General features: G+C 40.2%; 1 protein-coding gene across 48 annotated transcripts in view, besides 2 other annotated features; it reads left to right on the top strand.

The window, feature by feature from the left end:
• APBB2 (amyloid beta precursor protein binding family B member 2) overlaps positions 1 to 26,128 on the top strand; it is a 404,516-nt gene that overhangs the window by 69,605 nt on the left and 308,783 nt on the right. For 35 of the 48 annotated variants that reach the window (XM_047450183.1, XM_047450179.1, XM_047450170.1 and 32 more), the window contains one exon: positions 1,796 to 1,951. The exons of the other annotated variants lie outside the window; for them this stretch is intronic. The gene's annotated coding sequence lies outside the window, so the exon portion shown is untranslated. The remainder of the gene's footprint in view (positions 1 to 1,795; positions 1,952 to 26,128) is intronic. 48 annotated transcript variants of the gene reach the window in all.
• Positions 19,187 to 20,386: an enhancer, noted in NCBI's record as "P300/CBP strongly-dependent group 1 enhancer chr4:41126569-41127768 (GRCh37/hg19 assembly coordinates)". NCBI's record gives its function as "activates an origin of replication core promoter dependent on BRD2, BRD4, P300/CBP, MED14 and CDK7 cofactors, with strong dependence on P300/CBP, by STARR-seq in HCT116 cells {active_cell/tissue: HCT116}" and the evidence as "EXISTENCE:reporter gene assay evidence [ECO:0000049][PMID:35650434]".
• Positions 19,624 to 20,312: an enhancer, noted in NCBI's record as "OCT4-NANOG-H3K4me1 hESC enhancer chr4:41126643-41127331 (GRCh37/hg19 assembly coordinates)". NCBI's record gives its function as "activates a minimal SCP1, AML or CMV promoter by ChIP-STARR-seq in primed H9 embryonic stem cells {active_cell/tissue: H9 hESC(primed)}" and the evidence as "EXISTENCE:reporter gene assay evidence [ECO:0000049][PMID:30033119]".

Here is a 26,128-nt window from a genome sequence, read left to right as displayed (position 1 = left end):
TTGTTGCCCAGGCTGGTCTTGAACGTCTGGGCTCAAGTGATCCTCTGGCCTTAGCCTCCCAAATTGCTGGGATTACAGGCCATAAGCCACCATGCCCAGCCCGTTCTTTTAACTTAGTGACAGTTTTATGGCATGGCCAGTGATAGAGAAATTTGGATGCGATAGGTGAGGGAGGGAAACAACTATGGTTCTCTGTCTGTGGCAAGTTTGCAGAGTAAAAAAGAATTTTTTATTTCTAGGAAAGTGTTGTTCATCACTGGAAGTGTTACTGGACACTTGGGTTTTGAACGTGTAAATTAAGAACTTCTGTGATCAGATAAATACTTCTTCATTTGTTAGCTCTGTTCAGATAAGAGGCAGACCGAAGATCAGGCTAATATAGCATAGATACCCCATTTCTGATTTGTATTCCTGCAGTCTTAAACCCCTTATTTAAAAATTCTCTTAAAATACATGTTAATTGTAGAAAATTTGGAAAATACTAGAAAGAAAATACAAATAGCTTTCCATTCCATAACCCAAAAGTGCTGTTGTTCATACTTAGGTGTCTTTAGATTATATGCACTCAGTTTGTAGAACAAAATTGGGATCATACCATACATATATAACTTGATATTTTGCTTTTTTTCTGCTGTTCCTTTCGAGATGATTTTTGGGACTGAGGTTTCAACTGAAGGTAGAGATTAATGTAATGTTATGCTTAGCACACTTGTGACGAGGACTGTTTTGATTTACAGAAATAGAACTGTGGACCCAGTATCTGAAAATAACATTTGTCCTGTCCCCTCTTGAATAGACTTTCAATATTTGGCATATACAGATGTCGTCATAACTGTTACTATAATTAACAAATGAAGACTTCTTAATCTATTAGCTCTTAATGTTCACTAATTGCTTTCATAAGATTCCCTCATTGAGTTTTCTGTGCCAGAATTGCTAGCTGCACCACCAGTGAGCATAAGTTATTTCCACACTGTTTTTCCTTAAGCCCTGATTCCTCTAGCTAAAGCATGGCAGCGCCTGTGGGCTAGGCCACATGTTTGGCAGCAGGATAGTTAAGGGATTCCTTTTGCCCAGTTATGTTATACGTTTGATAATATTTATGATTTACTTGTTGAATGTTGGTTTCATATATAATTTCCTCTATTAGGAAATGAAAGATTATTCGTTTCCCCTTTGGATTATGTAGCCTATAAAATTTTCTATTACACCATTCATATTGCAATGTAAATATATTCTAAATCCTGAACCGCATTAGAATTTTTTATAGCCCCCACTTATGTGTCTTTTTGTGGTGCCCTTTGAAGTCCTGTAATGTTTTATATTTGAGATTAAATCTGGGTTTCGCTTTACTTTTTAAAGCATATTGAGCAAGTTAATTTTCTGTTTCAGTTCCTAAGGGGAATGATTCCAGCCCTCTGTGTCCCAAGAATTCAGACTGAGCCCTGCCAGAACATTCCTGTGGTTTTCCACGGGGCAGATCAGTATGTTCATGAAATTTTAGTTGTAGCTTGTGTTTTCCATGGTTAATTAAAACATCTGGCTTTTCAGTTTCCCACAAACAGAGCATAATCACTAGGCCAAACCTTTTCAATAAATGATTAAATATTTCAATCCTCCCCTCAGAATAGCCCACACTTGTCTTTAGGATACCTTGTAAGCTGTTGCCTCTGTTTATAATGATTTTGAACGTTGGGAACATGTTTGAGGTTATCCTGCCAAATATGTGCCCTTGAGAGAGAGAAAGTTGATGACTTTGAGTCCTTATAATGGCTTCTGGCCTTTGCCCCCCCAGGTTGGAGTTGCTGTGGGTGAGCTGCTGTGGTCTGTAGCCAAGCATGCTGTGGTCGGATCTGCCCAGCCGTGGAACAGAAACATTTGCTGGATGGAAAATCCATAAAAGAAAGCTCCTGTGAAAAGCTGAGGCTGACAATAATTTAAGCAAAATCAGGTTAGTATAAGTAAGAGAGGCTGGATAAAGCGGATTGGGCCGGATAGGGAAAAGTTGTTTTGTTCCTTCCAGGCTCATTTTGGAGACCACCCCAAATGATTATTTTCAGTTATTTGTGAGAGTCCCAGCATGTGTAAATGGCAGATACATGCTGATAGCCTTTTGTGTATAGTGTAATGATGTCTTCCTTTCCTTCTCTTCCTTTTCCTCTCCTCTGTCCTATCCTCTTTCTCATCTTCCTCTCCTCTCTCAGAGAAGAGAGAAGGACGTTGGCACAAATATTGGAAGAAGCCACAACTGGAAGCCACCTATGCCAACTTCAATGGTCTTGGCTTTATTTTGGGGAGAAAGCGGCGTCCAGCCTCATGGAGTTGGATTTGTAGTTTCAAAGACTTGCACTCATTTGTGTTTTCGAACTTTGAAGGGTGGGGCATGGAGACCTGCCATTTCTGTTGGGATAATTCTGGCTGTGAGCCTCCAGTCTGCTTGGCCAGATTTTATATACTCTAATCTTTCCCCAAACAAAAGCCACCAACACATTTCATTTTCTGCAGTGTGTGCATTTGGCATTAAGATACTTATATACGACAGGGGAAGAGAATGTCCTGAAAAACATAGGTGTTTAAATAAATGCCAAATGCTCTCACTGTGGGCCAGGTGAATGAAACAGCATGGATAACCCCATATGAGGCAGTAAAGTGAAATAATTCATTTTGAAAACATATATTATACAGGGACAGACATTGCAGACCATTTCTGTTGGACATTCAGTGGGTAAGTCAGCTTTCTACATAAGCAGCTAATAAATACTCCCTAGAAAGTAGTGAGTCACAGTCTTTCAGAATCTGTGAAGTAGTGAATGTCTGTTGGCTTTGTCTGCCCAGCATCCTTTTCCTCCATCTTTTAATAAATCATCCAGATTTTTCCTGGACAATTGCCCTTGTTTCATTTTCACCCTATGTAGTTAGAGGAGGTGACCCTGCTGACTCAGTTATGGGCATGTAACATAAGCGTGGCCAGTGATATGGTTTGGCTGTGTCCCCACCCAAATCTCATCTTGAATTGTAACTCTCATAATTCCCACATGTCATGGGAGGATCCTGGTGGGAGGTGATTGAATTATGGGGGTGGGGTTTTCCTGTGCCGTTCTTGTGATAGGTAATGAGTCTTATGAGATCTGTTGGTTTTAAAAACAGGAGTTTCTCTGCGCAAGCTCTGTCTTTTTTTGCCTGCTGGCATCCATGCAAGACATGACTAGCTCCTCCTTGCCTTCCACCATGATTGTGAGGCTTCCCCAGCCACATGGAACTTAAGTCCATTAAACCTCTTTCTTTTGTAAACTGCCCAGTCTCAGGTACAGCATGAAAATGGACTAAAGGGTCACAACCATCTTTGGAGGGGCCATAGTATTCTTATTGCAACTATTGAAGAAGTTTTGCCTTCTGTGAGTTTGTTAAGCTGGAGCTGCTAGTGGCAGTTTTTCTATGACTTAGGGAAAACCTTACTGAAAATTAAGACAACACAGGATAAATCAAAGCAGGGAGATGGAGGAAAAGAGATTGGTGGGAAGGGAAGGGACACTCGTATGCATATGCACACATGCACACGCACACATGCGCGTGTGCACACAGACACACAGACACACACACACACAGACACACACACACACACAGACACACACATATTTTTGACCTGCAATTCAGCAGTGCCTAAACCCAGCATCTCCTGTTTCACTTTCTTGGCAACTTAGCTAGTTCATCTGAGTTAGGTGTCTGTCTCTTACATCCAAAACATCCCAATTGGTGGTACCTTCTAGGAGTGAGGTCTTAGTGTAAAATGACTGTGGCATAGTCCCTGTCTTTAGGGGCTCATGGTGTAGGGCAGCAGTCCCCAACCTGTTTGGTATGAGGGACTAGTTTTGTGGAAGACAGTTTTTCCAAACAGTGAGTGGGGTGGCAGGGATGGTTTCAGGATGATCTAAGCACGTTACATTTATTGTACACTTTATTTCTATTATTATTACTACATTGTGGTCTATAATGAAATAATTTTGCAACTCATTGTAATGTAGAATCAGTGGGAGCCCTGAGCTTGTGTTCCTGCAACTAGGTGGTCCCATCTGGGGATGATGGGAGACAGTGGCAGATCATGAGGCATTACATTCTCATAGGAAGCATGCAACCTAGATCCCTGGCACGTGCAGTTCACAATAGCATTTGCGTTCCTATGAGAATCTAATGCTGCCACTGATCTGTCAGGGGGCAGAGCCCAGGAGGTAACGTGAGCGATGGAGACCGGCTGTAAATACAAATGAAGCTGTGCTCATTAGCCCACTGCTCACCTCCTGCTATGCAGCCTGGTTCCTAACAGGCCACAGACTGGTACCAGGGGCCCCTGGTGTAGGGGATAGGCCAGATAAGTATTCACATGACTGACATGCAGTGTGACAATGTATCTCTAGAGGTAAGAACAAAGTTTTGTGGGAACAGAGATGGAATTAGGAATTCTGTTGGGTGGTAGACTAGCAGGGAGGGCGATTATTTAACAAGGTAGAAGAGGATTAAGTCTTAGGAACATTAAAAAACATTAAAAAGATTTAAAAAATAGATTTAATTCAATTACTTGCTTTTTGAGTCTAAAAGAAGGGAAGGCTTTCCAGAGCATATAGTTAAAGTAAATTGCAGATAATGAAGATAATTTCAGAGGTTAGTAATGGTAGAATCTTGTTTATTTACTCTGAATACAATTGTTTAAGGCCTAGCCAAATGAGAGGCTATCAGAAAGCTGTCTGGAGTTAGTTTTAACACGACAAGGTAACAGCTGCTGTTCTCACCAGAACCTCAGTCAGCTTTCTGTTTTAAGGAGAATTAAATGAATTTAAAGACTTATTTCCTCTTTTTAATGATAGAGTTTTCATTAATATTATATTTTGTAATTACACTGTTTTTTGGGGGAAATTTTGCAGCAAGTACAGAAAGTTTCCATGTGACTTCTACTGCCAGTTTCCTATATCATTAGTGTCTTGCATTAGTGTGGTATATTATAATTGATGAGCCAATATTGATACATTATCATTACTAAAATCTATAGTTTATATTAGGTTCACTCTTTGCGTTGTATGTTCTATGAGCTTTCATAAATATATAAGTTGTATTTCCATTACAGTATCATACAAAATAGTTTCACTGCCCTAAAAGAATTGCATGTTCTACCTGTTCATTTCTTCTTCCTGAACCCCTGGCCACTACTTATCTTTTGCCCCATAGTTCTACTTTTTCCACAGTGTCATATAGTTAGAATTATACAATAGATAGACTTTTCAGATTGGCTTTTTCACTTACCAATGTGCGTTTAAGTTTCCTCCATGTCTTTTCATGAATTGATAGTTCATTTTTTTTAAAGCACTGAATAATATTCCATTATATCGTTGTTCCACACTTTATCCATTCACCTATTGAAGGACATCTTGGTTGCTTCCAAGTTTTGGCAGTTACGAACAATACTGCTGGAAACATTAATTTGCAGGTTTTTATATAGATATGTGGATAAGTTTTTTACTCATTTGAGTTTCTCACCATTAAATATGATGTCAGTTTTAGGTTTTTTGTGAATGTTCTTTATCAAGTTGACAAATTTCCCCTCTATTTCTAGTTGCTGAGAGTTTTTATTATGAAATAGTGTTGGATTTTTGTTGGGTGCTTTTTTGCAACTATTGATATGGTCATGATTTTCTTCTTTAACTTATTCATAGGTTGGATGATACTGATACTTGAATGTTGAGCCAGCCTTTTGATAAGAGATTATGTTGACTTTCTAGTTCAATATTAAGAGCTCTTATGTTGACTTGCAGATCAATATTAAGAGCTCTGATACGTGAACATGGGACATGTTTCCATTTCTTTCAGTTTTCTTTAATATCTTTCAACAGTGTTATATTGCTTTCAGGGTACAAGTCTAATACTTCCATATCAAATTTATTCCTAAGTATTTTTCTCTTTTTGATGCCTTTATAAATTAAGAAAGTAATTATTTTCAAAGTATTTGTAGCTAGTGTATAGAAATGCAGTTGGTTTCTGTATAATGATCTTGTTTCCTGCAACCGTGTTGAACCTGTTTATCAGTACTGATAGTTTTTTATGTGTATGACTTTGCTAGTATTTTCTATATACCAGATTATGTCATCTGCAGATATAGTTTTATTTCATGTCCAATCTGGATGTTATTATTATTTATTTTTGCAGTGATTTGAAAACTTGAGTGTGATGTGAGAAATACAAAGTTATGTGCTTTGGAGTTTCTAGTGAAATCATTCTGTTATGTAGCTTTTTGATAAGGATAAAAGATGATAATTATGAAATTTATCTTCTCACAGTTGACTTAGTTATTCAGTCATTGAGCTTCTTAGTCACTCCTATATCTTCTTTGGAGAAATACCTGTTCAAATCCTTTGCCCATTTTTATATTGGGTTGTTTCTTTTGTATATAGTCTGATATAAGCTCTTTATTGGATATATGATTTGCACATATTTTCTTCTAGTCTCTGGCTTGTTTAATGGTGTCTTTCCCCCCAACAATGAAATACTGTAAATTTTAATCATTGATAAATTGCATCAATATGGGAAACTGTGTGTATGTATAAACTTATTTTCTTAACGGTGTTGTTTGGTGCTCAGAAGTTTTTAATTGTAACAAAATTCAGTTTATTCGTTTTTTCTTTCAAAGCTCATGATTTTGATGTTTCTAAAAACTCTTTGGCTGGCTAATCAAAGCTCATGAAAAGTTTCTGTGTTTCTTTCTAAAACTTAGTTTTTGTGTTTTTTTTAAATGCAGTCTCACTCTGTCACCAGGCTGGAGTGCAGTGACGTGATCTCGGCTCACAGCAACCGCTGTCTGCCAGGTTCAAGTGATTCTCCTGCCTCAGCCTCTCGAGTAACTGGAACTACAGGTGCCAGCCACCCACCTGGCTAATTTTTTGTATTTTTGATAGAGACGGGGTTTTACCGTGTTAGCTAGGATGGTCTTGATCTCCTGACCTCATGATCCACCTGCCTCAGTGCGCCCAGGCTCTTTCTAAAACTTTTGTTGCTTTACCCTTTACATTTTGGTGTTTAATTCATTTGGGGTCAATTTTTATGTATGGTGTGAGGTTTGGGTCTATGTTTATCTTATTTTGTTGATTTTTTATTTTTATTTTTTGCATATAGGTCTTAGCACCATTTGCAGAAAAGGCTAACCAGTGACTTGACTTTTTTTGTAGAAAATCAATTGACCACAAATGTAAGGGCTTTCTTTCTGTACTCTCAATTCTGTGCCTTTGGTTTACCATCTGTCCTTATGCTAGTACCACACTGGTTTTTGCAATGCAATTTTTCTATGAAAAAAGTTAGTTCAAGAATTGGACTTAAGATGCAGTGTCTTCACTAAAAAACACTGTTGTACCTTTGCTACTTTTCCTCTCTGTTCTTTATGAGTCACTGTGTTAGAGTACTAGTATTTGGTGTTTTCTCTTTGGGGTAATTATGGAAATCTAATATGGTAGATGACAATGTGGAATCAATCAAAGTGCATTTTCCAGATTACTATATATATGACTTTAAGCAGTGCTTTGTTTTTCATAAAGGTGGTAATCATTTTTATACCTGTTCTGCATTTGGAAAAAAAAAGATTAAGTTTTTCATTACCTCTGTCTTAATCATTCCCAATAACTACTGAATGAAGGTTTTACAAGGCTGGCATATTATTTCAAGTATTTTCATTAATGGTAACATGAATTGGGTCTCATATCACAAAACTATTATTTTACTAAATAGAAAACCTATGAATTAAAATGTCTTGCGTGTGTTTGGTAACATAGTGTAGTTGTATATGTTTTATGAAAATGGGACATTTTTCATAGTATAAAATGCTAGCTGTATTTTTATATTTACCTATTCTGTTTTTATCTTTGTATTAGTATGATTCTGAATAGCTAAGTGTGAAGACATTAAAATAATTATATTAGAAATGTGAAGATTGCAAAATATATATATCTTTAGTTACAACTGCGTTATGGATGCATAAACATTGAAAAGGAAATTGTTTAAAAGTCAGTGCTTTATTGTGACATTTGGAATCTAGTTGATCATTTTCTCTTGTTTTCTAATAAACTCCTAATTTTGTTTGGGACATGACATTTTTAATGTGAAAAAAATCTAAATGTAAGTCTTGGTGAAATGCAGAGACATTTCCCTTCTCTGGCACATAGCTGAGCTGACTATTGCTGCTGGGCTTTAACTGGAGATTACAGTCATGCTATTAGATTTGGAACCTGTTTTCTGCAGTGCCGTTAGTAGGTCAAGCCATGCGTCCTGGTTCCTGGAGGGCTCAGTTCTCAGGATGGCTTATCTGCTTCCTGCTTTCTTCGTAATCTTCTCATTTCAACCTGAGTAGACCAGCTTGATGGCAACTGACATGTGTGTTACCTGGCCCTTTTACTTTCCTGGGAAGTCTTTTAACTGATAATATCACCTCCTAAAAACATATCCATAGAGCAACATGGAATTATCTTTTTTATTGTTCATTTAAAGTCAAAGCCATAAGTAAGCTTTCATTTATAACTCTAAGTCCCTGGAAATAGGTGTTATGAAACTTTTAACCCAGTCACTTCTTTAAATCTTTTCTTTCTCTCTGTTGCCCCTTTAAACATCTTTGTGACCTATTCACAGAATGACTCCATGAGGAGTGTAGTATAATGTTCTGGAAAGATAAGGTCTTCTTATTCTTGTTTTCTTTTGGGAGCTGAATCAAAGCATGGCTGGGTTAGAGTAACCTCTTAACCATCGTTTACTTTGAATAGAGCCTTTTTGCCAGCTGAAGTTGGGATTCAAAATGATTGAATCACTGAAGTTTGAGTTGTAGTACAATTACATTCATGAAGACTCTGGCCTATTTATGATCATTTGCTTGCAGATGAAGCAAAATCAGATCAACCTAGTCACATTCACTGAGTCAACACCAGAATGAAGAGAGTGTCAGGGAACTGGGTGTGGTGGCACGTATCTGTAGTCCCAGCTATTCAGGAGGCTGAGGCAAGAGAATTGCTTGAGCCCAGGAGCTTGAGACCAGCATGGGCAACATAGCAAGACCCAGATCCTGTCTAGAAAAGAAAAGAGTGCCTGGAACTTGCTTCTTTAGTACAGCCACAATTTTGTATACATCTGTAATGAGGATGTTTATGACAAATACATTAACAGAGTTTGGAATAATATATCTTTTGATATTTTTCTTGTCTTTTTTTATGTTGAATAATCTGTGAAGTATAGGTTTTCTTTAACAGCTTTCAAAGATACTGTGAGTGACATACAGTCATTTATTTTAATATAATTACTGATACAAGAACAAACAGTACTTTCTCAGTTTCATACTGATCTGTGATGCATAAAATGTTTAATTTGATTATATTGTCCAAATAAGATCTATACGCATGACACGATAGCTATTCAAAGTTTCTGAAATTTCCAAATTGATTATTATCTATTCAAATAAGCATTGATCATTGATCCTTGGCTTCATTCATAAACAAAAATAGTCTACTGGTTTGGATAGTGTCTATGAAAAAACATATAATAATTTATAAAAAACAAGTATCAACATTGGTCTGGCTTGCATTAAAAAATCTTTCGGTGCAGTTTGTTAGTGTACTGTCTTTAAGGATGAAAGAATATAGTTTTGAATGTAATCGTCATGCATCTGAGGCCCTTTGAGGACAGGTTTTAGAATCATAGTAACCATGCTATGCTTGGGTTTGTAAGGGTGATTTTTTTTTTTTTTTTTTTTTTGAGGGCTCAAGGATATAGTTTGTTACTGCTGTGGCTTTTTTTCTGGTGTCTGGTTAAAATGTCACAGAGCATATGAAAAGTAAGACAGTAATTAGTGACTTGAGGAATGAATTCTCCTAGAAATAAGAAGTCTGGAGTTCCAATCAGGACTTTAGATCCTTGATTATTCTAAAATAGGATTGAAAATGACCACTGGTCTTGAGCAGTCATTAACATATGAGTGATAAGGAATGTTGAATTTGTGTTACTTCAGTGCAAATCAGTTAAATTCCAAGTGAACTAGTTAGCAGTGTCCTGTAAGGAGGGCAGCTGTGGTAGTTTGCTGGAGGGAACGAAATGAAGTATTATTGAGGGAAACAGCCAAAATGCAAGCCCTTCTGGGGAGAGGTTGCATGTGCAGTTTGCCAAGTACTAAGCACTTTCTCAGTATCTTATGGGAGTGGCTCAAGGCGGGGGCAGACTTCATTTGATCCTCACAACAGTTCTTTGACAGAGACAGTGTTACCCAGTTTTAGAGAAGCTCAGGATTGGAGAGATCAAATGATTTTTGTTCAAGTCTTACACCCACTAATTTAAATTTGAATCCAGATGTTCCGAAACTCCATGATATACTTGTATAAATCAAAGCACTGCCTATGAAGTGGTTTACCCAGAGCAAACTCTCTTTATATATTTTCTTTATTTGTGGGGGGCTGGGGGCTGGGACTACAGGCACCCGCCACCATGCCTGGCTAATTGTTTTTTTTGTATTTTTAGTAGAGATGGGGTTTCACCATGTTAGCCAGGATGGTCTCCATCTCCTGACCTTGTGATCAGCCCGCCTTGGCCTCCCAAAGTGCTGGGATTACAGGCATGAGCCACTGCGCCCGGCCCTAAAAAGTTTGTCCTGGCTGGGCACGATGGCTCACACCTGTAATCCCAGCCCTTTGAGAGGCTGAGGCAGGAGGATCACTTGAGACCAGGAGTTCCAGACCAGCCTGGATAACATAGGACAACCTATCTCTACAAAAAATTAATTAACTTAAAAAAAAATTAGCCAGGTATGGTGGCACATGCCTATAAACCTAGCTACTCAAGAGGCAGAGGTGGGTGGACCACTTGAGCCCAGGAGGTCAAGGTTTTAGTGAACAATGATGGAGCCACTGTATTCCAGCCTGGGTGACAGAGCAAGACTGTCTAAAAAAAAAGAAAAAAGGAAAGTGTGTCCTAGGTTTTATAGCTAGGTATGTGGCCCAGCCATCTACTCCATGAACTTGCTGTGAATTACTGAGAGGTATTTTGGTGGCTGGGGGAATCAGATACTCCTAAGCAGCTGCTTAGAGAAGGAAGGAAGAAGATAAGCCTTGGACATTCCTGGCTTCCCCTCCCCCTTACTCTGCACTCCTTGTTTGGGAGCTGCCTAGAATTTTTCAGTGGGGAGAGAGGGACCAAGGTGTTTACCTCTATGATGGTTTGAGACTCTGGTCAATCTGTTGCTTTTCTAGTATTCTCACCTGGTAGCATTCTTAGTTAAGTACCTAGTAGATGTTAATCCCTTTCTTCCTTTTCCTGTCGCTGTGTCTGCCTCTTAGACACAAAGTACAGAAACTAATAAACGGAAAGGTTAAGCTATACAGAACCCTTTCCAAAGCTGTGATTGCCAACCTCCAGCTTTTTAGAGACATTTCTGGTTTGATTCACGGAGTCTGTGTTGTCTAGAAGAGCTTGACTTGGTCTGCTAGGGGTTGATTGTCTAGCAGTTCTGAGATGCAGTTTGAGGCACAGCAGGTCAGTTGTGATACTTCCAGCACGTGCAAAAAAGGGACTTCTGTTTGAGATTAAATTATCTTCTGAAATAGACACAATTCAAAAGCAATTTGGTGATGTATTTCAGAACTTAAAATCACCAGCAATTTCATAAATATGTTCACTTAAAACTATGCCAAGATATTTATATGATATATTGTAGCATATTTGTAAAGAATGAAGTAGTTCTGTATATGTGCTCCTTTGGAAAGATTTATAAGATATATATACACACTTACGTGTACATATATATAAAAAATGAAAAAAATGCCTTGTGGAATCAATGTGATTACCATTCCCTTTTGTATAATTTTTTTAAAAAAGGTATATATGCTGGTGTATGCATTTTTTCCCTGAAAAAGATGTACAGTACAACTGTTAATAAACTGGAAAACTTTTTCTTCCTTTTCTGTATTTGAATTTTCTAACTATGTTCACTTATTTTTCTTTCCTTTAAAAAAAAATCGGGATAGCTGAGCAGTATGATTATGTATCATTTTGCTTTAGTTTTAATGTATTTTATAAAACCTTACTAAGTGTTTTTTAAAAATATTGCAATTTTTTTCTAATGTTCATTTGTCAGTTTTTCTTGTCCTCTGGGAGTTCAGAGGAAGTAAGCAATTTTTGTGGGGAGAGTGGTAAAGCATATAGATAGCAAATGTTCTCAGGAAAGCTTATTAATTAAAACATTGAGTTGAAAAATAGAAAGGAAAAAGATATTTCCTAAATGTAATTTGAAGGACAATGAATTCAATCTTGCTGAAGTGTGTTTGAAGGTGTACCTTTATGCTTAGTTTGTTTGCTTTCAAAGGAGCTTTGGACTGAATTGTATTTGCTTTTCAGACTGCAGGGCTGGAGGTGGCCATGGAAGCCTCCAGAATCTGATTGCTAATCAGGAAAGCTGTTTGCTAAGAAAGGCCTGCCTGTTTGGACTTGAAGTAATGACTGATGCACAGATAAAGCCAGGGTGACTTTTTAAATATCTTTTGACTTCTGTGTCCAGATTTTGCTTTTCTCTTAATTAAAACCCTTAGACAAAGGTCACAGGTCAAAGGAGATGATTCCTCTAAACTCTTCTGGTAGCAATAGCTGCTTAACTCTTCAACTCTTGATAGGCTTGTCTGGAAACTGTTGTGTTCATTTTTCTATGACGTGATTTACCTCCTTTGGCTTAGTTTGAGTGCTGAAATGTAGTAATAGATACGAAGATGGAAATTTTTTTTTACAATGTAGATAATGGTAGTCTGGAGAAGAAAGGCATTGTGCTAACCTTTATCCATATTTCATATGGAATACTTGAAGTTTTATTTTTACTTTTTATTTATTTATTTATTTATTTATTTTTGAGACAGAGTCTTGCTCTGTCGCCCAAGCTGGAGTGCAGTGGTGCAGTCTTGACTCACTGCAACCTCCGCCTCCTGGGTTCAAGTGATTCTCCTGCCTCAGCCTCCTGAGTAGCTGGGACTACAGGTGTGTGCCACCATGCCTGGCTAATTTTTGTATTTTTAGTAGAGACAGGGTTTTGCCATGTTGCCCAGGCTGGTCTTGAACTCCTGGCCTCAGGTGATCCACCCGCCTTGGCCTCCCAAAGTGCTGGGATTACAGACGTGATCCACTGTGCCCGGCCGAAGTTTTATTTTTAAAAATCAGTAAACAGTGTTATTTTTCTAATTTCATAAGAATTTTAGAAACGTATTTTCCTAAAATGGTTTGTTAAATACCTCATCCGACTCAGTAATGTTTATTTTTGCCATATCTCCTTCTCTTTATAACTTCTGTACTGATATCTGACCTTAAACTTAGTCATGCCAGGAATCATAACCCCTATATTTCAAGGTATGTGAACCATAGTACAGGAATTTTAATCTATTAGGAAGATTAAGGGGACAGTTTCTAAAATACATATCTATGTATGTATATGTATGTGTTTGTATGTAATTGATATTTATAATATAGAAAAGTCTAAAACACCACCATTGTCAGTTGATATCATAAATGAGGAAAAACTGATATTATCTTCAGTACATACTCACTTCCCAAAAGAATCTGATAATTTAAAAATTCAGGGTAATCAATACCTAATACAAAGATAGCAAACTCAAATGCCGACAAGACAGGGACCCAACAGAAAGTAAACCAGTGAACTTGGGCATAGAGTGGAGAAAAAGGGCACAGCTACTGCTCAGCTTCTCGCTTCTGCTGTTCAGGAATGAGGCTCCAGTGTAGCATGATCTGCTGATACATCAAGAGAAGGCAGAAATGTAGAGCTTTGTGAATGCCCCCATACTTTTAATGTGTTGGAAACACATTAAAAAATTAAAACATTGTACTCTCGCATGTTTTGCTGTGATGTTCCTTGTCAGTACTTCAGGGCCTGAGAAGCATAAGGGGTGGCGCTTGTTCTTTGGTGACGTATGGTCTAGTTGGGCCCTTATGATGTGGAGCAGTTGAAGGGCTGAGATAAATGGTGTGGGTGCTGAAGGCCACAGGATCCTAAGGAGGTAGAAATTGGTGTGAGTCAGACCATCCTAGGAAGCTTCATAGAGGAAGGGGATCTGTCCTACAAGGCCTTAACATTTAGGGCCATGGAGAGAAGGGAGGGCGGATGGGGAGCAGAAGTGGGGAGGGCGTGGTCTTGGGGCATCGGTAGGCACTCGAGGAGACTGGCCTCTGTAGAAGGCCTCACAGTGGGTCTGTGCTCTGAAGAGCTCCTCACAGAGCTGGAGGAGAGTTAGCTATGGGGAGAATATGAGATGTAGTTAGAAAGGAAAGGAGGGGGCCACCCTCTGGGGCCCTCTAGGCAATCATAAGGACTTCATGTTTTACTGTGGGGACAGAGAAGACTGATTGCAAGTTCTGATAGCAGAAGTGCTGTGGTGTGGCTTGAGTTTTAACAGGATTCCTCTGTTGAGAATAGAGTGTAGAGGGCAAGGATAGAATTAGGGCAAGCAGCAAGGAGGTCACTGGAATAATCCAGGCCAGATGAATGAGGGCTTGGGTAAGGGGCAGCAATGGATCTACGCTGAAGGTCGAGTCAGGACTGTTTTCTGGTGGAATGGACCTTGGAAACATGTCCACATTCCATTCTTTTCATTGATAATGACCAAGCTGCAGCTTAGACCCTTCTCCTCATTCCTAGATAACTGTGAAATTCTAGAAATTTTCCTTCTCGTTCTCAATTTTCTCTTTTCATCGTATAGCTACAGCAGGATTGATGTTGGAATGCTGGCCCCATCACAGCCTCCCTGGCTTTTGAACACAGTGGGCAGATTTCTGCCTCAGGGCCATTGCATTGGCTGGTTCTTCTTGTGTTCTCTTCCCCAGATATCCTCCTGGATAATGTCCTTTCTCATTTAATTCTTACTCAAATGTTAGTCTGTCGGTGAAACCTACCCTGATCGATGTTTTAAAAATTGCAAACCTTCCTGTCACTCCTCCCCAAATCCCTCTTAACCTTTTAATTTTTTTCCCTGTAGATCTTAGCCCCTTCTAACATACCTGCATACTTTACTTACATTTTAAGTTATTGTCTCTCTCTTCTCACTGGAATATAAATGCCAAGAGGAATTTATATAAATATAAATATATTTATATATATAAATTGCAAAAGGCAGGGATTTTTGTTTTTGTTCACTGATACATCCCTGTCACCTAGACTAGTGTCTGGTGGGGACTGGGTACTTGATAAATATTTGTTGAAGGAATGAATAAGTGGCTTTCAAGAGGCACTTAAGATATACCACATGTCAGACACTGAAAATTAAAAACAAACAAAGCAAAGACACAAGCCCTGCCCCAGCGCACATGGTTCAGTGAGGCACAACAGCAGGAGAACAAAGCCTGTTGATCTAATACAATGTGTCCAAACTTCTGTGCAAACAAAAGTAAAAAAGCAAGTAATTCTTCCCTTTTCAGCCAAGTCTAGACTGTTGATTTGGACTTCCCAAGGCACACAGGTAGGGGAGAGGTGATGACATTTCAGGGAGAGGGAGCAGTGTGAGAGGGGACATGGAGGCAGGAATGTGCCATCTGTGTAGTCAGGAGGGTGTTGGTGGTGGAGAGTGACTGAAGATGAGGCAAGAAAATGGAAAGTGGGGCCAGTTGAGAGGGGACTTGAATACCCTGCACAGGAGTCTTGACTCCCCAAATTTATTGAGCTCCTGTTGTGTGTCAAGAACAGTGCTAGGTGCTTGGGATTCAAAGGTGAATAGATGGCTCTTCCTGCTTTATGGGTTTCATCTTCTAGAGAGAGGCTGTGGTGTTAAGGGAGAAGAAAAATGGCCAGGATTGTGGTGGGAATGGAGAGGCCAGGAGAGACAGAGGAGGGACACTGGGGTAGGATTAATAGGATTTGGTCAAAGACACGGTGTGTGATGGAGGGAGTAGGAAGTAGAGTCTTCTGGCTCGTCACTGGGGCTTAGGGGTAGATAAATGTTGACAGTGTTGTCTGTAGTAGGAAAGGCAGGTAAAGGATGCAAGGGGCTGGAAATGCCAATCAGAGATCTCAGGAGGGATGTGAAGGAAAATTAAAAATATATAATAGCCCGTTAGTTTTGTCTTTGGGAAGCCAGGAGGCTGGAGATACAGGTGCCCCAACCAGGAAAGTTGGAAGGGGAAATGTGTTTGTAGGACAGTAGGGGAAGTGATGTGTGTACCTTACCAGAATGTCACTTCCATGAGGGCACAGGTTTGGTTTGTTCACTGCTGTATATCCAGCCCCTAGAACACTGCCTGATACAGAGTATAATCTCAGCCATTGTTTGTGGAATTAATGAATAACGTAGTTGAATTTGGAGGACAAAACTGGAGTCATAAGTTATTAGAAGGCTTAAAATGAGATTAAAGTGATTACAATTATATTATTTTAGATATTCTTTTACAGGGCTTTGGTGATCAGTTAGATTTTTTAGAAATTTTAAAATGTTACCTTTTACTGGTGATATTCCTGGTCACATACTTGCTTTGGATATATACCCAACAATGGGATTGCTGGGTTGAATGGCAGTCCTAAGTTCTTTGAGAAGTCTCCAAACTGCTTTCCTCAGTGGCTGAACTAATTTACATTCCCATCAATGGCATAGAAGTGTTCCTTTGCTCCAAAGCCTCACCAGCATCTGTTGTTTTTTGACTTTTTAATAATAACCATTCTGGCTGGTATAAGACAGTATATCATTGTGGTTTTGAATTGCATTTCTCTGATGATTAGTGATGTTGAACATTTTTTCATAGATTTGTTGGCTGCTTATATGTCTTGTTTTGAGAAGTGTCTCCTCATGTCTTTTGCTCTTTTTTTCTTTTTTTTTCTGAGATGGAGTCTCGCTCTGTTACCCAGGCCGGAGTGCAGTGGTGCAATCTTGGCATACTGCAATCTCCGCCTCCTGGGTTCAAGCGATTCTCATGCTTCAGTCTCCCAGGTAGCTGGGATTACAGGTGCTTGCCACCACACCTGGCTAATTATTATATTTTTGGTAGAGATGGGGTTGCATCAAGTTGGCCAGGCTGGTCTCGAACTCCTGACCTCAGGTAATCCACCCGCCTCCGCCTCCCAAAGTGCTGGGATTACAAGCATGAGCCATCGCCCCTGGCCTTTTGGCCAGGCTGGTCTCGAACTCCTGACCTCAGGTAATCCACCCACCTCGGCCTCCCAAAGTGCTGGGATTACAGGCATGACCCATCGTGCCTAGCCTTTTGCCCACTTTTTAATGGAGTTATTTGTTTTTTTGCTTATTGAATTGTTTAAGTTCCTCCTAGATTCTGGATATTAGATCTTTGTCAGATGCATGGTTTGTGAATATTTTCTCCCATTCTGTAGTACATACCTGCTTTGAATAGAAATCTTAATCTCCGATAGTGTTATCATTTGCTGAACCCAGTTTGATGTTGGAAGCAGGTAGTCTAGATTAACACAGCAGTAGGCAACCTTTCATGCCAAGAAGTGAATGGCTACATGAAAAGGCACATGTGAAGTGAGTGAGAATGAAATTTTTTTGCAATTGCCTTCTATTGATGTGGAATATCAAGTGAATGCTTTGATTTTTTTTTCCTTGTGTTGTATTGTCGCAGTACAAATGCTTATAAAATGTGGACTGGCAACTGGTGCTTAGAAATCTTTGGGTTTCCCCAAAAGACTTTTCATTATGGTTGTTTGGTGTGTGTCTTTATGAAGTATTTCATAAAGACAGTGAAAAAGATATGTTGCTTTTTTTTTTTGTAATCAAAATCAGGGTGTCATTGGGACATTGTAGAATGTAGTATCCTTTCATTATATTAGAAAGGTAGCTAATCTTTAAGTAAGTGAGAAATGAATTGTGAGTTTATTGAGTCTAGCCTCATGGCACTGGTAAGAATAAATGGAAATAGAACCTTGCCATGTTAGTGATTCCAACAGTGTTATGGACTGAATTGTGTCTCCCCAAAATTCATATGTTAAAATGTGAGTGTATTTGGAGACAAAGTCTTTAAAGAGGTAGTTAAGATAAATTTAATTATCTTAAAGAGGTAAGATAAATTTACCTCTTAAAGAGGTAGTTAAGATAAAATTAAGGAGGGTCCTAGTGCAGTCTGATTGGTGCCTTATAAGAAGAAGAAATTAGGCACAGACACGTTCAGTGGGAGGACACTGTGAAGACATAGGGATAAGACGGCTCTCTACAAGCCAAGGAGAGAGGCCTCAGAATAAACCAGTGCTGCTGACACCTTGATTTCACATTTCTAGCCTCCAGAAATGTGAGAAAATAACTTTCTATTGTTTAAGCCACCCAGTCGTGGTACTTTGTTATGGCAGTCCTATCAAACTACTGCAAGCAGGCAGCCCAGGCTATTTTAGCATCACAGTCTCCCTGCAAGTCAGGAAGAGGGAGACTCAGTAGTGCCCTGGGTATCCCAAGATGGATGTTTCTGTTTGAATGCTCACAGGGTCGCCAGGTAACTGCTGTTGTCTGTTGTTCATTAGTCATTCATTTCTGATCATTTTCTTCTGTTGTTTATTCATTTACTTATTTATTGACAGGGTCTTGCTCTGTCGCCCAGACTGGAGTGCAGAGGTGTGAAACAGCTTACTGTAGCCTTGACTTCCTGGTCTCAAGCGATCCTCCTGCTTCAGCCTCCCAAGTAGCTGGGACCACAGGCATGCACCACCATGCCCAGCTAATTTTTTTTTTTTTTTTTTGTAGAGACACGATCTCACTATGTTGCCCAGGCTGGTCTTGAACTCCTGGATTCAAGCATTCCCCCGGTCTCTGCCTCCCACAGTGCTGGGATTACAGGTGTGAACCACTGTGCCTGGCCTTTCTGATCATTTTTGTTGGAAGCTGCATACCTTGTCAGCATTTTGTTTCCTTCCAAAACTCCAATTAAAGGTGTGAAACGAAGCTGAGGTGCTTATCTTACAACTTTCTGTGATTGGAGTCCTCGGGTTTCATTTATATGGATAGTCCCAAGCTCAGCTGACTAGATGAGATTCTTGCTGAGGCAGGACAGCTTTGTGGACGGCTGTCTTTGGTGTGAATTGGACCATGTGCATGGGATGCCAGGGTTTCAAGCCAAGGCTGCTTTCTCAAGAGACTGTCTCCGGCAGCTTGGAATTTAAGTGAAGCTTAATTTAATCCCTGGTTTTCACAGTAAATGTGTAGGGTGTATGTTACTTACAGTAGGAGTTGGAAAACCATTGGCTTCCTTTGGCCTATTTATTTGAATTTGATTTACTTGGAAATTTTCCAAGCAGCAGAGCACTTAGAGGTCTTCCAAAGAACTTAAAAAGTTTTCATTTCACATTCCAATAGATCTGTTTTCAAAATGGGTAGGGCAAGTGGAGTCTGTGATTAATTAGGTTATAGTAAATTTTGTTTTTTTTCGATGTATCCTAGGTTTGAAGAAAATGAGAGGCATAAATGTTGAGAACTATCTTCTTGAATTCCTTCTTGATTGGGTTGCTGGGACACCCAACCTCAGGATATTTAAAATACCTGGAGACCTAAAGTGAAGTACTCTCATTCTCTATTTTGTATCTAGGGCCACATAGATGTGTTTGATGTGAATCACACCTCTTCATTATGTGTGGCCGACTCTTCTGAGTAATACCATGAAAAGTGCTTCTTCAAATTCCATATCTTCACATATTGCTGTTATGTAAGAGGAATGAGACTATTATAATTGAGTGAAATTTAAAATCTTGTGCTTTAAGTTATGAAATAACATGCTTTTGGCTATGCCATCCTGCAACCTGGCCTTTTCAGCAAATTTTGTAGCTTGTGGGGACAGATGACCCTGAATTCCAGCAGCACCTGCAATCAAAATAGTTCTCATTCCAGGGCCCACACAACAGGGTGTGTTTGAAAGTACTTAAAAGGAAAGTGTAGGCAACGCATTGTACCCTTAGTCATAAAACATTATCCTGGAATTTGCCTTGCCCCAAAGCTTGGGAAGCCACCCTTTTCTCCCTATCCCAAAGTTTCATTGTAATTCCCATTTCTGAAAAGAAAGAAAGAGTACGATGGAATTTCTTCACTAGGATGGCAGATTGAAGGTACTTAGGTGAGGAAAGAGACGCTAACAGAGCTTGTGTGACAAGATGACCAAAATCTGGGTGGAAGGATAGTCTTAGAAGAGTGATTAAGTGATGTTTATTTACCCAAATAAACTATTTTTCCAGCCAATTATAACAAATGCATTTATTCCATGTTTAATCAGTTGTAGAATATCCAGCAGATTCATGGGGTAGAATGTATTTTATCAAGACAAAAATAGCCAGCTTGAGAAATGATTTAAACCAGAGATCAGCAAACTACAGCTTGGAGGCCAAATCCAGCTTGCCACCTGTTTTTTTTATATGGCCCATGAGCCTAGAATGGTTTTTACATTTTTAAATGCTTGAAGAGGCCAGGCGCGGTGGCTCACGCCTGTAATCCCAGCACTTTGGGATTTGGGGAGGCGGGCGGATCACGACGTCAAGAGATCGAGACCATCCTGGCTAACACGGTCTCTACTAAAAATACAAAAAATTAGCCGGGCATGGTGGTGGGCGCCTACAGTCCCAGCTACTCAGGAGGCTGAGGCAGGAGAATGGCGTGAATGCGGGAGGCGGAGCTTGCAGTGAGCCGAGATCACGCCACTGCACTCCAGCCTGGGCGACAGAGTGAGACTTTGTCTCAAAAAATAAAATAAATAAAATAAAATAAATGCTTGAAGAAAAGTCAAAAGTAGGAGAAGAATTTTGTGACAGCTGAAAATTATAGAAATTTGTATTTCATTGTTTATAATAAAGTTTTATTGGAACACAGCTGTGTTCATCTATGTATGAGGATATTCCGCACTGTATATCAAAGCTCTGTGGGCAAGCTTCTTCCTGCTGAGGCAGCACAGCTTTCTGGATGGCCATGAAAAGCAACTTTCATGGTACAGCAGCAGAGTTGAGTATTGTCACAGAGACTCTAGTCCACACAGTGTTCAGTTATTTACTGTCTGGTCCTTTACAGATATCTCTGCCCTTCCCTGCTAGTTTAAGCAATCGTTTAAATTTACTTGTGGTTTTTTTTTGTTTTGTTTTGTTTTTTGGTTTTTTTTTGTGAGACAGAGTCTTGCTGTCGCCCAGGCTGGAGTGCAGTGGTGCCATCTCGGCTCACTGCAACCTCCGCCTTCCAACTTCAAGCAATTCTCCTGCCTCAGCCTCCTGAGTAGCTGGTACTGCAGGCGCATGCCACCATACCCAGCTAATTTTTGTATTTTTAGTAGAGATGGAGTTTCACCATGTTGACCAGGCTGGTCACAAACTCCTGACCTCACCTGCCTTGGCCTCCCAAAGTGCTGGGATTACAGGTGTGAGCCACCACACTCAGCCTCTGAATTTACATTTGATCATATTTTTGATTGTTTACTGTGCAGTGTGCTGGTTTTGACATGCAGGGTGGAATATCCTCATGTTGGATGGCAGGTTATTCCATAAGCTCATCTTTTAATAGAAACAGAATCCCTTCAATGTAATCTGCAAAAGATAACCACTGAGCATCTCCTTGGTCACTGGAAATTGAGCCACAACCATTAAGAAAGTGGACCAGCTGTTCTTTCTTTTCCCTCTCTGACCGACCGAATCATTCATTTATTCAACAAATATTTAGTGAGTGCCGGCTGTCTGCTTGCCACTGTTCAGCCAGTGACGATGAATGGTGAGCCTAACAAAAGCCCCTCCTTGGGGACCCTACATTCTCATAGGAGGAGATGGATCGTAAGCACTGGGGGGAAGAAGCACCAGGAAGAAAAGACAAAGGGGGAGAGAGAGAGAGAGAGAGCTGGGGCAAGAGAGGGCTGCTGGAGATGTGGTGCTGGGCCAAGGCTTTTGGCCACAAGAATCAGGTGAGTAGGAATTTGTGACATGAAGACTCAGGAGGTGGCATTCCAGGTGGAGGGAACTGCAGGGGCATAGGCCCCCAGGTGGAGCCAGTGCGGCGTGTTTGAAGAATGGGAATGCTGTTCTGGAGGCCAGGGCAGAGGTGAGGACAGAAAAATATTGGTGGGGCGAGGGACAGGTTTCGGAGGGCATGGCACGGCAGGGCAGAATAAGGACTTAAAACATTTTTAATTCTGGGAGAGACGAAAAGGCTTTGAGCAAAGAACTAACTTGATCTGGTAATGTTTTTTAAAAAAATCACTGAAATTACAAGATATATCCTCTGCCTTGTGGTTTATTGCAGATAATGGCATTTTGTGGATTAAAAGAAAGAAAAACCCTTTCAGTTCACCAGCCACAACAGTTAGCTTTAAGAGTGTTATAAAAGTAGGATCAAAACAATAGGAATTACAGGCCAGGATCTTCTTAGGGGAGTGTTCAAAGCTTCAGGTATCCATATCAGTCCAGGTCCCATAAGAAAACAGGTGGCATATGGTAGGTAATGGGAAGACAATGGACTCTAGTGTGGAGGGAATGCCACTCCTACCTTGGTGCTTCAGGACAATTAATCTGCTAGTGTTGTTTAGAATGGATTGAAGAACAGAGGGGAAGAAGGTAGGGAGACCAAATTGTTTCATTAAATTATATAAAAAATTTTCAAAAAAAGTCAGCTTCTATTGTGGAGGAAAACTATTGTACAGACCCCAGTCAGAACAGTGAAGATACTTGTACTGTCCTCAAGTGTCATTGTACTTGTTGATTAACATATATTAAAAACAAGCAGGTGTGGTGGCTCACACTGGTAATCTTTGCACTTTGGGTGGCCAAGGCAGGAGGATTGCTTGAGCCCAGGAGTTTGAGACCAGCCTGGGCAACTTAGTAAGACTCCTGTCTGTACAAAAAATAAACAAAATTAGTCAAGCCTGGTGGTGTGCCCTGTAGTTCCACTACTTAGGAGGCTGAGGTCAGGGATTGCTTGAGCTCGGGAAGTCAAGGCTACAGTGAGTCGAGATGGGGCCACTGCACTCCAGCTTTGGTGACAGTGTGAGACACTGTTTCAGACACACACACATACACACACACATACACACATACACACACACACACACAACCAAAAAAGGAAGCCATATATTAAAAATGTTGCCATAAAAAATATTGGGGACAGGGTATATAGGAGCCACAAAGACGTGGCTGCATCCGGGGGCTAGTAATAGCCAAGCTCCTCCCACTCCTAGGCCTGAGGGGTGAGGGAGGAAGCAGTTTCCAGGGGACCCTATATAGAGAGCCACCTGACAGGACCCAGGGAATATGGTGGGAAAGGATTTGGCTGAACCAAAATGGGAGCCAGTGGGCAAGACAGCCTGTTGTTAAATGGGTCAGCTTCCCAGAACACACAACACGGTGGCAGAGTAGAGGGCAGGTGGAGGATTTCCATCCTAGGGGACACCTCAGGAGTCTTAGCTGCATCCCAACTCTGTCGCTTTCCCTCACTCCCACCACCAGCCACACCACAGATGCGCACGCATGAGCGTGTACACACGCACGCTCCCAAGTACCCTCTGGTATTCTTCCATTGCTTTTCTGACCAGGACAGAGGAACTATTTATTAATTGTGAAATTTGAGGACATTTCTCATTATTTTTGTGGTATTTGATGCTATAATATTTGCAAGACAAGGAACATGTGGGTAGCTCTACGCATTCCATTTTCCATTCCTGATAAAAATTCAAAGCACGTATGTTACTGATGCTAGAGTTAAACATTTTATTTTTTAAAAGTATCATTTCTAATTGGCTGCAGAAGGAAAAATACAGTAAGCAGGACATTAAAAATCTTGGGGAACTATATTCAGTTTTGGCTATTCTGGTTACAAACAAAGCAAGCATTGAATTTTAGCCACTTCAAACAGTTTTCGTTTTCCACCGTTGAGCATGTTAAAACTGTGAAGACACAGAAGTACCATTCAGTAAACTGCTTCTTTCAGCAGCTTCTGTGATATCCCAGTACTTTGGAAGCCTTCCATTTTCTTTCAGGTACAAGAAGTTAACACCCTGAATTAGTCACTATCTGTGTATATAAAGCCAGGAGCTTTATATTTTGTACTGAGGCAGAGCTGAAGTTTTTAGATAATTTGATCTTTTAAAAATATTTGACTTTTCACTTGATTTAGGTTCTGAGAATCAAAGGTTCTACTAACAAAATGGTCAACTTGGCAAAGAGAAATATGCAGAAGTCAATTTTAGGCTGTATTTTGCAAGAGCGCGGTGCCTGTGAAAGCAGCCCAAGCTGTACGGATGGTGAAACTCATTTTTCTCCCCTACTTTTTCTGGAATCTGGCCAAAAATTAAGTATCGTGGCACATTTTCTCAACAATCTTGGCCCCAAATTGGAGGGCTGGCTCAGGGCCCCAGGGGAAAAGAAAACTCCCTTTTCCATTTATGATTATCAGCCATGTTATAAAACTTAAACATTATTTTAAGGTCAAGGAAAATAAGTCACCTTGAATTTCCCGTAAGTTTTGAAGCACTGGAACGAGGTCTGTTTTTGTTCCTTGGCTTTTGCTCATGTGTCGGTTTTGCAGCACAGGATCAGTCACGTGGTTGTGGGGCCTTTGGGGTTGAGGAGCTTCCACTGCATGCAAAGGCACTTTGTTAACACAGCGGGACCTGGGTGAGTGAGCCAGGTCCTAGGCCTGAGTCGGTTTATATAATTCTGCTCAGGAGATTGGAGGCATGAACAGATAGGTGGCCTGCAGAGAAAGAGAGAACCTCCATGGATGACAAGAGGACTGTGGAAAATTATTAAAAAATGAGAGGGATCCTGTCTTTCTGGTGGAGAGAGTGAAAACACAGCTGGCATGGAGCCAGGCCTTGAAGGATCCTGAGGAACAGAGTCACTAGTCGTGGATTTGAATGAGTTCTGTGTCTTGACTTCAACTCGTAAGCCTCCGTTTTCCTCATCTATATAATGGTGATGACATCTTTACCACCCATATCACGGTATTTTTATGAGGCTAAATTACAGCATGGAACACAAACCATAAAATACCCGAATGCTGTTACTTATTATTGTCATGAATATTATCAAATGGCATCTGTTAAATATTTATTTTTGATGCTTGTTATCACATTTGTAGTTTTCCAGGAGTTTGATCTAAAAAACACAGTTGCTGCCACTGATGGTGATTTCTTAGGCCAGCTCCACATAGGAAGGTTTTTATATGTGGTAGACTTTTTATATGTGCAGATCTCACAAATGCAGTGTGGAGTCTCTTGTTACAGTTGAGAGGAGTCTCTGGACAGGGTATGTGAAAGGCTGAGCTCCCTTCTTTAGGCAGGAATCGGATATAGTATGGTGGAGTATGTTAATGTACAGACAGACGCTTGAAGTTCTGGGTTTAAGATTGTCTATAGAACTTGGGAATTGGGACTGCGATTTTTAAGGAAAAAAAAATTGCCAACTTTTTTTTTTTTTTTTTTTTAATGGAACTTCCTAGAGCCTTTCTGGGACTTACTTTACTTGTTAGAGGAGTAGGAGGTGTGGTAAATTCCTTCCTGGGTATGTTAATTAAAATGTAGTGAATTAAGCTGGAGAACTTGGAGCCCGAAACATGTTAGTGTTGTATAAAAGGAGGAATATAAATGCATGAGATTAAGTTTAAAAAACACGTGCCACACATTTAGCTAGAGATCCTAGTTCAAACTCACTCCCCCAGTCGGCCCCATTCACACGTTTCAGTGCCACCTTCTTTGTTAAAGACGATAGGACTACACTTCTTTGGAATTAGTTTAAGAGGTAGTTTATAAGCCAGTCAAGAAAATTGACCTCATGTTCATGCTCTTAAAAAAAAAAAATCAATTATTTTTGAGACAGGCCTCACTCTGTCACCCAGGCTGGAGTGCAGTGGCATGATCTCGGTTTGCCGCAGCCTCAACCTCCAGGGCTCAAACCATCTTCCTGCCCCCTCCTCCTGAGTAGCTGGGGCCACAGGTGCGCACTACAACGCCTGGCTAATTTTTGTATTTTTGTAGAGTTGGGGTTTCGCTGTATTGCCAAGGCCAGTCTTGAACTCCTGAGCTTAATCATTTTGCCTGCTTCAGCCTGCCAAAGTGCTAGAATTACAGGCGTGAGCCACCGCGCCCGGCCAGTCTTAATTTTTTTTAAAGCATTTTTAGATTTACAGGAAAACTGAGC

The sequence above is a fragment of the Homo sapiens genome, chromosome 4, assembly GCF_000001405.40.
Source record: "Homo sapiens chromosome 4, GRCh38.p14 Primary Assembly".
In the NCBI taxonomy this organism is placed as follows: domain Eukaryota; kingdom Metazoa; phylum Chordata; class Mammalia; order Primates; family Hominidae; genus Homo; species Homo sapiens.
Note: the sequence above shows the minus strand (reverse complement) of the source record. Positions and strands in the feature narration are given on the sequence as shown.